At 37.6% G+C, this 16,211-nt stretch overlaps 1 protein-coding gene across 1 annotated transcript; it reads left to right on the top strand.

The window, feature by feature from the left end:
- Nucleotides 11,239-16,211, top strand: IFNG (interferon gamma). The gene is made up of 4 exons (NM_000619.3): nucleotides 11,239-11,477; nucleotides 12,720-12,788; nucleotides 12,884-13,066; nucleotides 15,492-16,211. The coding sequence occupies exons 1-4, from the start codon at nucleotides 11,364-11,366 to the stop codon at nucleotides 15,624-15,626; spliced, it is 501 nt and encodes a 166-aa protein (NP_000610.2). The 5' UTR covers nucleotides 11,239-11,363; the 3' UTR covers nucleotides 15,627-16,211.

Here is a 16,211-nt window from a genome sequence, read left to right as displayed (position 1 = left end):
ATTAACAAAAGCAACAAAAGTCCTAACCAAAACCAGGCATTTAAAAATCTCTTGGGAATTTCCGCCAGTCATCATAGTGAATCCATTCTTTGCAGCCTGGTAATTTGGACTGCTGCTTCCTCTTTTGAGATGTAGGGCCTGAGGACATGTGTTTCTGGTAGAGAACATTTTGATTCCGATTAAAAATTCCACCTGAGGTACAGCCATTTTCATTAATCCATTGATTTTATACAGGAGGAAAAGTTCCTTCATCTGCACTTGCTGCTTCCCAGATAGTGGAAATTTAGCAATTCTTGAATCCACTAAACCAATTACTACTGGTATTAAAGTAAAACACTTCTATAACTTTTGACTTTTTAAAAAGGTCTTCAAATATTGCTAAGGCTTTTTCCTAAATGTGAGAAGACATATGTTTGGTTGTCCTTTTTTTTTTTTTTTTTTTTTTTTTTTTTTGAGATGGAGTTTTGCTCTTGTTGCCCAGGCTGGAGTACAATGATGCGACCTTGGCTCACTGCAACCTCCGCCTCCTGGGTTCAAGTGATTCTCCTGCCTCAGCCTCCCAAGTGGCTGGGATTACAGGCATGCACCACCAGGCCTGGCTAATTTTGTATTTTTTGTGGAGATGGGGTTTCATCATGTTGGTCAGGCTGGTCTCAAACTCCTGACCTCAGGTGATCCACCCGCTTCGGCCTCCCAAATTGCTGGGATTACAGGCGTGAGCCACCATTTAAGCCTTGGTTGTCTTAAAACATTAACATGCTGGGAAAAATCTAGTATAAACCAAAAATAATTCCACATTTTATCAACATCATTTTCTTATTTGCCAATTGAGCATGAGGTAATCATAAAAAAGTTATAGCAGAACAAACAGTTTAAAAGGGAAAAAATAAAGGAATATTATGCAGTACAGGATTAACTTCATCCGAAGAGAGGTTTGGTCTTTGTCTCCAACACTGGGGATGTAACCTCTATGCCCTTGGAATGTCCTGCCTGATAAGAGTGTCTTTGGTTTCCTAGAGGCCTTAAGCCCTGCGACATAATCTATGCTAACAATGTGATCTATGGTGGGAGCCTTGGGCCACAAAGTATCAAATTGACCTCTGAAAGGGCTAGAGACCAAAGTCAATCATACAGGTGTCAATCTTGTCTATGTGACCAAGCTCAATAAAGTCTCCGGACAGCAAGACTCAAGTAAGCTCCCCTAGTCTGCAGTACTCTGTGTATATTGTCACACATCATGGCTGGGAAAAGTTAGCACTGTCCACTTCTCTACTGGTAGAGAATGACTGGAAGCTCTAAGCATGGAGTGCTCCTGAGCCCTGCCCTATGGACCTCTTTCCTCTGCTGATTTTAATCTGTATTCTTTTGCTGTAATAAACCATAATCATGAGTATAATGGTTTTTCTTAGTTCTATGAGTCCTTCTAGTGAATTATTGAACCTGGGGCTGGTTCCAAACTTTCAGCTGGTGTCAGAAATGAAGGTGGCTTTGGGGACTCCCAGATGTTCCAAATACCACAAGGCTTATAACAAAAAGCCAGTAACTCTGATTCATGCAGTTCCATCTCTAAAACATACTTCTCTGAGGCTATCACTTTCAATTCCTTTAGCTTCATTTCTTAGCTCAACTTCTACTTACCCAGTAAAACTACCTATTTCTTACATTGAATTTTTCCCATTTCAGGTAATATGACTATGACTTACTCTACCCTATACACATATACACTTAGCCCCTTTGTCCTCTGTCTTCCCATTATAGCTATATTACACTTTAGGTGGTAAAATGGACATGACTATGATTAGGTAATTCTTGTTCATGACATTTGTGGTACAATATTACATTTTTTTCGTGCACAATATTTGCTTTTCCTGAAGTTAATAATTGGCTTTGTTTGGTTGGTTTTCTTAGTTTTCCACATACTCATCATTAATTTACCTTCCCCTACCCCAGTCTCTGTCAGGGGTGAAATTTCTTCGTAATGTTCATATTAATTCCATTTCTTTTCTTGGAGACATTTCTCCTGGGCTTCCCAGTCCTTTAGTTCCAACCAGTGCTGGTTGCTCTGTAGGCCTGCTGCACAATGATCCTCTTGGGACTTCCCTCACCACCTGCTAGAAAATAGTCTAGCTTTTTCCTGTGTTAAATCCTTTGTTTCCTGGATCCCAGGTCTTCTTCCTTAATTTAATTTCTTTATTTAGGTTAAACACTTTCTTGACTTTCTCAAGATGCTTCATGAGAAAGGGCACATGGGACATAAAGTCATGAAATCTCCCATGAATAAAAAAAATTGTCTCATCCTAACTATTAATTGTTTGACATAGCGTGAAATTCTAGTTTGGACACTATTTTATTCCAATATTTAAAAACATTGCTCCATCAACCTCTAGCTTCCAGAATAGCTATTGAGAAGTCCGGTGACATTCTGTTTCTGCATCCTTTGTATTTATAATGTTTACAACCTATGTTTTCTCTCTTGAACTTTGAGGATCTTCTCACATACAAGATTCTCCGAAATTTAAAAATGCACTCCAAGGCCTGTCTTTTTATTTTTATTTTTTAAACTCATTGGGCTGGGCATTCGTTGGGTTTTTCATTTTGGAAACTCACATTCTTCAGCTATGGAAAAATTATACAAATAATCTTCTGAAAATTTTCTTCCTTCAATTACATATTTTCTCTTTCTGGAGCACCTGTTACTTAAGTGTTGGATTTCTAAGTAGATTCTTTAGTTTTCGTGAATTTCTTTATATTTTTCCAGTTCTTGGTCATTTTGTTCTTTCTTAGAGATTTCTTCAACTTTATATTTCAACCCTTCTATTGCTTTTAAACTTCTGCCACCATTTTTTTTGAGACTGAGTCTCACTCTGTCACCCAGGCTGGAGTGTAGTGGTGCGATCTTGGGTCACTGCAACCTCTGCCTCTCGGGCTCCAGTAATCCTCCAGCCTCAGCCTCCTAAATAGCTGAGACTACAGATGTGTGCCACCATGCTTGGCTAATTTTTATATTTTTAGTAGGGACGGGGTTTCACTATGTTGGCCAGGCTTGTCTCGAACTCCTGACCTCGAGTGATCTGCCCACCTTGGCCTCCCAAAGTGCTGGGATTACAGGCATGAGCCACTGCACCTGGCTCTACCACCAGCTTTTAAGTTCTAAGAGCTTCTTCTTCTCTAAATGTTATTGTTCCATGAATCTTCTATTACTTTTTAAATTTTTTTCTCTTTGTTATTTTTCTCGGCATTAAACTTCATTTCTTTTATTTATTTTTTCTGTTTGTTTTTTAGACTTTGTATTTTATCCTAAAGTATTTTTTCAAGTATTTTTCTGTTCATTAATGTTGTTTATGTTTTATAACAAAGTCCAAATTGTTGGATTGGGTACATTAAATATATTGATTGGACTTCCTGACTTACAAGCCTCTTAGTAGGGTGATACTTGAAACTGGTGAGTTTCACTGGCAGGAACCCCACATTAGTACATCTTTTCTTTTAGGCTTGGCAATTTCCTAGACACTAGGAATATAAGCCTGATAGTAAGCATTCTGGAAGCCTCGTGTTCTCACTGCTCAGTATGATGACTTTCAAATAAATCCAAACCTTATGAAGGTACTTACTTCCTTCTCAGCTATGCTAAATATCCAGAAGATATCCAGAACCTTGCTGGAAGGTAAACTTCCAGTCTTCAAACAGGTATACGGGGGCAGTGGTGTGGCTAAGTGGGATACGAGGGATCTAACTACATCTTATATACATTTTTCAACCAATTGTCTTATTTTCAATCCCACCCTGAACTTCCTTCTTCAGAAGTGATTAATAACACAATTCCTGAGTTTTCTACTAATCTGCAGTGTGAACTAAATTTCCTCTACTTGGTACTTGCCGCAGTGGAGAAATCTAAAGTTGAAGTTACTCACCACTTGCTCATCTTCTTTCCATCTTCCATAACTTCATTGACATTTCTCATTTGCTTTTGGCTTTTTTTGTTGTTGAGGCTTTATAGCCTTTTATGTTGTTATTTTTGTCTTACGGATTCTGAAAGAATGTAGAGGTAGCATGTATTCTATCTGCCATGTTTCGTGTCCTCAAAACATGTGACCCTTATCATTACTGCAGCAAGGGAAGAGAGAGCTGGAAGGATTCTCAGGGGCTTTCTTTGGCCTTGGCCCAGAATGGTATCTCATGACTTTTTTTGGCCAATCTACTCTAATCCAAAGTAATGTCTGTCATTACTTAGAGTAGATTGGCCAGAAAAAAGTCACAAGATACCATTTAATTGAAAGAGGCCGTGAAGTATCTTATTCCATTTGCTAGGAGGAGACTGAATCTGAATATTGGAAGCCACTAGTAATAATGACTGTGCATTTAATGAGCTCTTACCACATGCAAGGCATTGCACTATTACACATGTTGACATAATTTATACTCATGAAATCTTTTGAGACAGTTATTATTTATATCACCTTTTTACAGACGAGGAAAGTGATACCCAGAGAAGTTAAGTAATGCACTAATAATCGACAAGACAGTAAGGAGCAAAGTCATGATTGAACACACACAGCCTGACTCCGGAGCCTTTGAACTTAATCATTAAATCACTTTGGCTCATATTTCGTTAATCCACAGAAGTTTATTGGGAAAAAATTTTGTGCCAGGCACTGTGTTATGTAGGTAGAAAAAAATAATGAAATACTTTGTCTCCAAAAGCTAACTATATTTACCTGTGGAAAGTGAAATCATAGGTGATTTTTTTCTTTTCTTATGCTGTTCTGTATTTTCTGTTTTTTTTTTTATTTAAAAGATCCCACATAATTTTACAACCATTAAAAAATATTTCCATTTGAAAAATCAATGGATGGGAATTTAATTCTGATACTTCTTAAATTGGTTCAGGGATTGGTGACATGGTAATAATGACAGGTTAAACACTGGTGAGAAAAGAAACTTATCTATTGGCTCATCATGGACTCAGAATTCCTCTGCCAGGTAGCATAGGAGAGAACGTGAACCTGCCAGTCTGCTGTATAGAACTTTTATCATGAGAGATACAGGAGTAAGTTTCCATTGGAAAAATATACAAGTTTTCAAAGCCTCATGCCATTGCCATTTCAGGGGCTACCCTGAGGACAACTCATTTCTTGAGATCACTGGGGTAAAAAAGCACATGACCTGAAGGTTTAAGTACAAGCTGTGAAGTATTATTCCTACAAATTGTATGTATGTTTAAAAATTCAATCCAATTCAAAGCTCAAATTCAAATTAAATTAAAAACTCAAGTGATGGGTAAAATTTCCCAACTTTTCCACCATTCAGACAATGATTTTTTCTGAATTTCTTTCTTTTCTTTTTTTTGTTTGTTCGTTTGTTTTAGACAGAGTCTTGCTCTGTCACCCAGGCTGGAGTGCAGTGGTGCAGTCTCGGCTCACTGCAACCTCCGCCTCCTGGGTTCAAGTGATTCTCCTGCCTCAGCCTCCTGAATAGCTGGGATTACAGGTACACGCCACTATGCCCGGCTAATTTTTGTATTTTTAGTAGGGATGAGATTAGTATTTTTAGTAGAGATGGGGTTTGTATTTTTAGTAGAGATGAGGTTTCACCATGTTGGCCAGGCTGGTCTCGAACTCCTGACCTCAGGTGATCTGCCTGCCTTGGCCTCCAAAACTGCTGGGATTACAGGCATGAGCCACTGCACTTGGCTGATTTCTCTGAATTTCTAAGTCTGTTGGAGTCTTTACTTCTTGCAACCTTAGTCCTTAGTAATGTCTTATATTCCTCATAAATCACAATCATAGAAATGTAGGATATTAAGAATAGAAGGAAACTTAGAGTTCATTTAGAGTTAAGTCTTCATTTTAAAGATGATGTGGTTAAATATGAGGCATGGGTAAAGGCTTTGTTCAAAATCTCACATCACTTGCAGACACAGGACCAGAATTTGGGACTCCTTTCTCTTAGGCCAAAGTTCTTTCCCTTATATTACTTCATGGATTGTTACGTTTTCCCCCAATACTAATTTTCTTGGAGGAAGAGATTATGCCTTTTACTTCTTTGTAAGTTGAATGAACCCATATGGAGGATCTAAGAGGCATAACAACAAGTAAACCTTTGCCCTAATAGGGAAAATAAGCAATGAAATATAAATAAGTCAGTATCTATCTGGATTTCAGTGTTGAGAAGGATTCAGCAGTGATATCTGGATTTAATAGAAAGGAATGCCGTGACTGATTAGTGACGTCTGCCTTGGGTATAGGAGGAGGAAACACAATACATATGTCAATGTGTGTATTTCCCTCTGACCAATAATAAGTCCTCTTAACGATATGAACCACCTGGAGAGGATGTACATGGAGAAAAGGTGGGGAATATGGATACCTATTCTACCTATTCAGCAACAAGAACAGGAATCAATCCTAGCTTCCAATGTGGTGACATATGCTCCTACCGGATTGTCTCACTGCTAACTTCTTTGTAACCCCTAAAGCTATGGATATCTAGTAGGCATTCAATTCAATAAGCACATATTAATTAATTGAAATTGGGATATAAACCAACATTTTCACAATAGAACTTTTCATCCTTCTTTGGAAACCCCATATCAATCGAAGTATTTGGCACTTGGTGCATTAAAATTCCTTGTGGAACAAAAATACAACCTTCAAAGCAGGACCATGAATCTCTGGATTATCAATACACAATCCCATCTGATATAAAATTAAGAATATTGTAATCTGATGATTGTACTGTGTAAGTAGCATACCTTCTATATTCTTTGAACCACTCCTCAAAAATGGCCAGAAGGCACAAAAGAAAAGGGGGGATTCAGAAAAATCTTCCTCTAACTTACGGGATTTTATGAGTCAAATTGCGGGGAAAATCTGACTCCGTGTGGACTTCTATTCTGTATGTCATGCTTCTTCCGTAGGTTTGGCTTGCATGATGTCAGGAGTTCCGGAAGTCAAAATAGCGTGGGGGCATGGATCCAATATTGACTCATATTGAGTGGAAGAAATCTACGCCAAAGTCTGGATGAGATAATTTGGTTGTGAGTGCTAGGATGTGACTGCTGATGACAGAGGAAAAGGGAAACCAAGGTGTAAGTTTTGGCTTACTGACTACCTACTCAGTTAAGACTGAGGATAGCATGAGATATGATTGAAATGTTGCTGATGTGTCATGTATAACCATAGCCAGTTTTCAGAAAAAAAGTCTAGTTGAAAAGAAAAAAGAAAGTTTTCAGCCCCTCTGTTTTAGTAATATGGTCACACCTTGGCTCCTGATGGCTTTGCAAAACTTTTAAAGTATATCTTGATGGTGACTTATTCTGCAGTCTCAGAACTGGCCAAACCAACAAAGTGTGAAACCTCTAGTTTGCATGTGCAACAAAAGGTGTTTTACAGGCAGAAAAGAGAGAGAAATTTCTTTGTTTGCAAAGTTGACAAGACAGGAAAAGATCACAAACGTATATACTTATTGTAGTGATAATGTTCTGAACAAAAGAATCATATGTTGAAAGATGAAAATCTAATAGCAGATGTTTCACTGCCAGTCTGGAATGCAGGACCAGCTGCATAATTTGTGGAAACAAGTGCAAAACGAAAATGTGTGTCCTTTGTTTGAAGAGTTATTAGAAATTTCAAGGAAGTGACAACAGAGCATTAAACCAAGTGTGGGCTGTTCTAAGTTCAGGGTCCTGTCAGACTGCACAGGTTGCATGTCCATGAAGTCAGGTTGGCTGGGATGTCTAGGCAAAAATTTCAAAAATATATTTCAGAAACAATTTCAAATTATACTTGCAGTCTTACTATGTTTTAAGGAATTAAAGTGTGATTACTATCTCACAAATTCTACAGAAGAAAAAATCTCAGAAACTAAAGCCTGATAGGGTGTAGTTATTTGAATTCACATATCTAACGTAGAGGTACATGCAATCATCTCAATGGATATTGATAGATTGGGGGATGGATTGACTAAGGGTTCCATCCTCTTTGGGAAGATCTTGGATTTAGACTCAGTTCTGCATTAGCCAGTTGAATGAATTTAAGCACATCACTTGTCTTTCTGGGTCTGGATTTACAAATCTAAAAGGTAAGGGGTTGACCATAGATAATCTATAATTCCATAATTCTGTGCTTGGCCATGCCATCAAGAGTTATTAGAGCTTGGATTTTAGCCGTGTAATTACTCTTTGTAAACAGTTGCCACACTGTAAACATATTCTTAATATAATCTGTTATTTTGAATAGGCATTCTCAATTTACAAGTGGCTAGGCAGTATATCATTCCCTCTTATGGATCCCACTATTCTTAACTCCTCAATCCTAGTACTACATTCCAGTGGAGCAATCAAGGACCAGGCAGAACTAATTTTTACTTATTTCCAGACAGTTGGGAACATTCCTTCCAGTGACTCAGAGGTTGGGCATTGGAAGGTATTGAGAACCTGCAAAGTGTCTCAGGCTCTGACCCAAATCCCTGTGCCACCTGCAAGCACGTTCTCTGGACGTAATTTTTCTTGAGCAGAGCAACAGTAGAGCTTTGTATGCAACAATGTAATTTTTACATTCTTCACTTGCTTAACATGAGGTTTGGTTCCACATAAATGTTTTGATCTTATTTATTCTTTGGGAAGATCGCCCCTCAAAGAGCTTTCTGGCTTTTTTTTCCCACATAAAAGAATACACGAAATTGTCGCAGTCAGCAAGTGTTGGCTAAAGAGACACAGCATCATGTTTCTAACATTAATCATAAATATTATTTAATTAAAAACTAGTTTCTTACAGGTTAGGCCTGATAACATCGGAATTAGAATTTGAGGGCAAATAACTCAAAAGAGAGCCTTAGGCAAGCATTCGAATTTACATTTATTCAGTGCTCTTTATGAGCAAATCTCCATGCTAAAATATTTTAGGGAAGAGAAAGCCATCATAAAAGCAATGAAACAATTTCTGATTTTCAGAAACTCAATCTAACATGGCAGAAGACACGCGAATAGCTATCTTCAATCAAGATTGAGGAATCAGAACTCTTAGAAAAGTATAAACCAAGACTTGTATAGAGAATCTAAGATTAATTTTAAGGAGGATAATTTTGGAAAAACTCAGGGAGATGGTAATTTTTAAGCCGGGCTTGGATGGATGGCTACTACTCTCAGGGGCACAAATGAGGGGAAAAAGAACTCAAGACCAAAGAAACAGCATGAGCAAAGGTCCAGGGTACTTTTTTTTTTTTTTTTTAAAGAAATGACTAGGCCGGGTGCGGTGGCTCACGCCTGTAATCCCAGCACTTTGGGAGGCCAAGGCGGGCGGATCACGAGGTCAGGAGATCGAGACCATCCTGATTAACACAGTGAAACCCCGTCTGTACTAAAAATAGCACAAAAAAAAAAAAAAAAAAAAAAATTAGCCGGGCGTGGCGAGTGCCTGTAGTCCCAGCTACTCGGGAGGCTGAGGCGGGAGAATGGCGTGAATCCGGGAGGCAGAGCTTGCAGTGAGCCGAGATTGCGCCACTGCACTCCAGCCTGGGTGACAGAGCAAGACTCCGTCTCAAAAAAAAAAAAAAAAAAAAAGAAATGACTAGTCATCCAATGTGCCAAAATAATAATAAACTTTTATTAGTGATTACTATATGCCAGGAAAAATTCCTAGCACTTTATGAGGATTACCTGATTTAATTTTCAACTGAAGCATGGAAGAAGATACTATTATCAAGCCAGTTTTACAGGTAAGGAGACTGAGTCATAGAAGATTTAAGAAGCTAACTCACAATCATATAGCTAGATAGTAGAGGAGTCAGGAATCAAGTTTGCCCCATAACTGCAATACTGTTATGTACACAGTACAGGTAGAAATGCAAAGTGGGTTTGAACCAAAGAGTGGAGGGCTTTTTGTGCCATCCCAAAGTGTTGTACTTCATAAATAAATTACAAAGGAGGAGAAAGAATCCTATTTTTTTTTGTATCTGAAAGACAAAGAAATAAAAAGTTAAAAAGATTCTCTGTTAGTACTGATTATTTGGAACAATAAATTGTTTAGAGCTATGCTGTTCAATATAGTAGCACCTAGCAGTATGTGCCCATTAAGCGTTTGAAATACGACTAGACCAAATTGAGATGCACCGTAGGCTTAAAATATACACTGTATTTCTTTCCTTTTTTCTTTTTTTCTTTTTTTTTTTTTGAGACGGAATCTTACTCTGTCACCTAGGCTGGAGTGTAGTGGCGCGATCTCGGCTCACTGCAACCTCCACCTTCTGGGTTCAAGCCATTCTCCTGCCTCAGCCTCCCTAGTAGCTGAGATTACAGGCATACACCACCATGCCTGGCTAATTTTTTTGTATTTTTAGTAGAGATGGGGTTTCACCATATTGGCTAGGCTGGTCTCAAACTCCTGACCTTGTGATCCACCCGCCTCAACCTCCCAAAGTGCTGGGATTACAGGTGTGAGCCACTGCGTCTGGAACTCCCCCTGGGAATATTCTCTACACTGTATTTCAAGGATTTAATATGACAAAAAGAATGTCAAATACCTTATTAACAATGTAGTATATTGATGCATACTGAAGTACTATTTGGGATATATTGGTTTAAATACAATATATTTTAAAATTATATTTACCTTTTAAAAAAACTTTTATTAATGAGGCTACTAGATCATTTAAATTTACCTGTGTGGCTTGTATTGTATTTCTACTGGGCAGTGCTGATCTAGAGCAATTTGAAACTTGTGGTAGATATTTTACTAACCAACTCTGATGAAGGACTTCCTCACCAAATTGTTCTTTTAACCGCATTCTTTCCTTGCTTTCTGGTCATTTGCAAGAAAAATTTTAAAAGGCTGCCCCTTTGTAAAGGTTTGAGAGGCCCTAGAATTTCGTTTTTCACTTGTTCCCAACCACAAGCAAATGATCAATGTGCTTTGTGAATGAAGAGTCAACATTTTACCAGGGCGAAGTGGGGAGGTACAAAAAAATTTCCAGTCCTTGAATGGTGTGAAGTAAAAGTGCCTTCAAAGAATCCCACCAGAATGGCACAGGTGGGCATAATGGGTCTGTCTCATCGTCAAAGGACCCAAGGAGTCTAAAGGAAACTCTAACTACAACACCCAAATGCCACAAAACCTTAGTTATTAATACAAACTATCATCCCTGCCTATCTGTCACCATCTCATCTTAAAAAACTTGTGAAAATACGTAATCCTCAGGAGACTTCAATTAGGTATAAATACCAGCAGCCAGAGGAGGTGCAGCACATTGTTCTGATCATCTGAAGATCAGCTATTAGAAGAGAAAGATCAGTTAAGTCCTTTGGACCTGATCAGCTTGATACAAGAACTACTGATTTCAACTTCTTTGGCTTAATTCTCTCGGAAACGATGAAATATACAAGTTATATCTTGGCTTTTCAGCTCTGCATCGTTTTGGGTTCTCTTGGCTGTTACTGCCAGGACCCATATGTAAAAGAAGCAGAAAACCTTAAGAAATATTTTGTAAGTATGACTTTTTAATAGTACTTGTTTGTGGTTGAAAATGACTGAATATCGACTTGCTGTAGCATCTCTGATAGGCTGTCATCTCTTGTAGGCAGTCATTTTGAGATTTGGTGTTATTTTGTTAATTATTGACTAGATGAGTTCCTTGACTAAATAATCTAGATATTGTTTTAACCTTCTGCTCAGTTTGTATAGAGACTTAAAAGGGATTTATGAATTTTCCAAAAGATGGGCATAATATGGGTATGAAGCATAATGATGTTAATAATTTTGTGGTGGGAACTCATTCAGTTGTGATAGTCAAGGAGTATGCAGATTGAAAAAAATGATTGGTTATTAGTTTTTGACTTCTCAGACTCTAAGGTCAAGATTAGCATTAAAAAGGTAATAGGAAATGTTTACAAATTAAAGTCAAAAAGGTCCTTAAAGCTTTGGCTTAAAAAAATAACTGATAGGTGATTTTCTCCAAAAAGTGATTTCAACATTCTGCTTCTCTATCTATATTACTTGTGAAGTATTCCGGAACTTCGTTGCTCACTGGGATTTTGGAAGAATTATGATTCTGGCTAAGGAATGTTTAAAAATTTTAAGTGAATTTTTTGAGTTTCTTTTAAAATTTTATTGATGGTTAATGAAAAGTTTTTACATTTTAAATATTTCATTATTTGTTTAAAACTTAGCTGTTATAATTATAGCTGTCATAATAATATTCAGACATTCACAATTGATTTTATTCTTACAACACAAAATCAAATCACACACACACACACACACACACACACACTCGCACATGTTTGGAACTATCTTTTAAAGCTCGTATAATAATACCCTACAGGAAGGCACAGTAGATGTAATAGAAACCTGTACCATTGGGGGGCAGTATTTTATAGTGGGGTGGCTTTGCTGTTTTTTGTTTTTGTATTTTTTAGCCTAGCTTGAAAATACTTTCTTTAGCTTACTATAGTTTTTGGGACCTTTGGAGTATCAGCTTTGTTGAGCTCATTTGTGACATTGCAATTTAATGGTTATATTGGGAAATAAAAAAGCTAAAAGAACATAATAGTCTTTGTCTATATCTCACATAAGCCTTTTGGGAATACTTATTGTTAGAACTAAGCAGAAGAGTTGAAAAGGAAATCAGTGAATATTGTCACATCTGAGTTCAATGAAACTTGAAATATATTTTTAAGGCAATTTATGGGCTAATTGTAAACCAATTTTTTCTTTTTTTTTTTTTAGAATGCAGGTCATTCAGATGTAGCGGATAATGGAACTCTTTTCTTAGGCATTTTGAAGAATTGGAAAGAGGTAAGCTGAATATTCCCATTTGGCTAATTTTCCTGTTGCTTGCTTTCTGATGGATAAATTCACATCATCCTCTGTTTGTGCTCTTTCCTTCCAAGGAGAGTGACAGAAAAATAATGCAGAGCCAAATTGTCTCCTTTTACTTCAAACTTTTTAAAAACTTTAAAGATGACCAGAGCATCCAAAAGAGTGTGGAGACCATCAAGGAAGACATGAATGTCAAGTTTTTCAATAGCAACAAAAAGAAACGAGATGACTTCGAAAAGCTGACTAATTATTCGGTGAGGCTATTTAAATTCTTTCTTTGGTTTCATTGCCGAGGGTCTTGCAAAGCATTTATTCTCCAGAAAGTAGACATTAGCTATTTAACAGTTGCTAAAGCTATGAACTCAACTCATGGCTGAAACTCTACCTTACTATTTCCATTCGTGTTTGGGTGACTTTGCAAAGCCAGTAAGAGAATCGCTGAAGTATGTAATGTAGAGAAATGCTGGCATTGTAACTATTGCGTAAAGACAGGTGAGTTGACAAATCCAGTGAAGAGGAAGTAGGTGAGGAAGAAGCGGGGAGTACTGAGAAGCAGTTCTCTCATTGTCCCTTGCTCATATGATGGAAATTCTCTTACTTTGAATGAGAGGCTGTCTGTCTTAATGGAAAGAGCAGTGGGAGGAGCTGAGAAGATGTGTGTTCTCCTCCCAACTCAGCCACCAAGGAACTGTGATGAATCACATGGCTGGCTGGGGCTCAGTTTCCTCATCTTAAAAGGAAACTGTTAGGCTCACTGTATAAGTTTGATGACCTTCTTTGCTCCAAAACTCTACAATGCAAAGAATAGAAAATGAGAATGAGATAGAAGAAAGCTACAGTCTTTGAATAGGTACCAGGGACACCCCACTGCAAGTCTCTAGCCAACCTATCAGATTGTACTGCCCAATTAGAAGCAAGAATGGTTGCTGTTTGTTTGTTTTTAGGGAAAAATAGATAGAATTTATACCTTATGAAAAGATTGTTCTATCAACTCTCTATCAACTTTCAGAATATCTCAGCTGGAGAACTCCTTAGACTCCTAAGTCTTACCTCATGAACTTGTATCTTTAAGTTATGGCTTCTATAAACAGAAAGATAACGTTGAGGCATAAAGACAAATCATGTTTTTCAAAATGTTTTCTAGAAGACAAAGGCCTCTAGATTCCTTTGGGGTTGACTTTGATATAAATGGGCTCAAATGAGAGGGACCAGGGTCTTCAAGCTAGCATTTGTGTTCTTAGGATATGTGCTCAGCTTTCACTATTGCTGGGCCTGCCTCTCACTCCTCTCATGTAAGCCCCCAGAAACAGAAAGGAGAGACATGGCAACAGGTCTCCTTTGGTTATAAACTAGACACTCAGCACTTGTTTCTAATCCAGTGGTGCCCCTGGCTTACTGTTCAGTCCTGGATAAGTCTCTTAGTTTCTTGGTGATGATTTGAACATTGGAAAGTAAAATCTGTCACTTGCAAACACACAGCTTGTCGAAAATTTTTTCTACTCTGCAGGAACTGGGCCTTAAAAAAATGAAAAAAAATCTGTGGTTTCTTCCTTCTGGAAGCTACAAACCTCCTGTTTCTTGATGGGCAATCTTGAGTGAGCTCTATTAATTATTATTCTCTTTGGCTCAGTTGCTAAGCTATTTTATGCATGTTATGCCCTTTGACAATTAGTCTTTAGCTGTAATCCCCCAGCCATCCTCAGAAATGTGGTGAGTAGCCATAGTGTTCCCAAGATTAGAAAAAATGTAATGGCAGAGCCAAGAGGAAGGTAAATGGTCCACATTTTATGAAGCATCATCTAAATGGCCCTATTGGTTAGAGTGAGGAGATGCAAGTAGTTCAATTTGCTTGCCTAGAAGGCAGGGTACTGGAAAAGTTGTTGCAATTCTTAATTTTAAACTTTATATATCAGTAAGCCATATATAAATATGATTGGGGGTGTTTATTTTAAAATCTATTATGGAAATTGAGAGACTGACCTAATCTGGGAGAAATTAAAAATTACAGTTTTCACTCGTTTTGGATTTGGTGTTTTCTAGGGTACCTAACCTAGATCAGTGGTTCTCAAACTTAGGTGGATGTCAGAATCACCTGGGGAGCTTAGTGAATGCACAGGGCACAGTCCTTCCACTTCATGCACCTGGATCTCTGAGGTCTTTGACAGGTTTCCGGATTAATCTGCTATGCACAACAGTGAGAATCATTGACCTATAGTTACTCATTTGATGCATACAGGAAAGACTGAAGTATAAAGTGATATAATTGGTAGATTGATGATAGAGAGGTCATAGAAACAGTCTCATCCTCCTTTAGATGAGAAAATAGAAGTTCAGAGAGGTTAAGTAGCTGGCTCAAGGTCAGAATTATTGCATGCATGAGATTCAAACCCACCTTTTTATGCTGACTCCACAACCAGGAGTCTTTTCACTATATAATTTCAAGAATTCTATAGAAGTAGATTTAAAGATATGTGATGGACTCCACCACATTATAGCACAACTAGAAATGTAATTGTAATTTTTAGCTTCAACTGCTGAAGAAGTAAATATTGTATATTAAGGTAATACGGTCCATTTTTTAAAGGAATACTTTTATTTTCACTGACCATCATGACATTAGCAGAATATCCTGATGGCTTATATGCCTGAAATTAATTTTGCTCTTTTCTTTCCCGATAGGTAACTGACTTGAATGTCCAACGCAAAGCAATACATGAACTCATCCAAGTGATGGCTGAACTGTCGCCAGCAGCTAAAACAGGGAAGCGAAAAAGGAGTCAGATGCTGTTTCGAGGTCGAAGAGCATCCCAGTAATGGTTGTCCTGCCTGCAATATTTGAATTTTAAATCTAAATCTATTTATTAATATTTAACATTATTTATATGGGGAATATATTTTTAGACTCATCAATCAAATAAGTATTTATAATAGCAACTTTTGTGTAATGAAAATGAATATCTATTAATATATGTATTATTTATAATTCCTATATCCTGTGACTGTCTCACTTAATCCTTTGTTTTCTGACTAATTAGGCAAGGCTATGTGATTACAAGGCTTTATCTCAGGGGCCAACTAGGCAGCCAACCTAAGCAAGATCCCATGGGTTGTGTGTTTATTTCACTTGATGATACAATGAACACTTATAAGTGAAGTGATACTATCCAGTTACTGCCGGTTTGAAAATATGCCTGCAATCTGAGCCAGTGCTTTAATGGCATGTCAGACAGAACTTGAATGTGTCAGGTGACCCTGATGAAAACATAGCATCTCAGGAGATTTCATGCCTGGTGCTTCCAAATATTGTTGACAACTGTGACTGTACCCAAATGGAAAGTAACTCATTTGTTAAAATTATCAATATCTAATATATATGAATAAAGTGTAAGTTCACAACTA

This window comes from Homo sapiens, chromosome 12, assembly GCF_000001405.40.
Source record: "Homo sapiens chromosome 12, GRCh38.p14 Primary Assembly".
In the NCBI taxonomy this organism is placed as follows: Eukaryota; Metazoa; Chordata; class Mammalia; order Primates; family Hominidae; genus Homo; species Homo sapiens.
Note: the sequence above shows the minus strand (reverse complement) of the source record. Positions and strands in the feature narration are given on the sequence as shown.

What these genes read in the sequence shown, in the direction of transcription:
- IFNG (NM_000619.3), top strand. Translation starts at nt 11,364, where the DNA reads ATGAAATATACAAGTTATATCTTGGCTTTTCAGCTCTGCATCGTTTTG. An exon ending in TTTTGAAGAATTGGAAAGAG is followed by an intron (nt 12,789 to 12,883) that starts GTAAGCTGAATA and finishes TTTCCTTCCAAG; the next exon opens with GAGAGTGACAGAAAAATAAT. An exon ending in AAAAGCTGACTAATTATTCG is followed by an intron (nt 13,067 to 15,491) that starts GTGAGGCTATTT and finishes CTTTCCCGATAG; the next exon opens with GTAACTGACTTGAATGTCCA.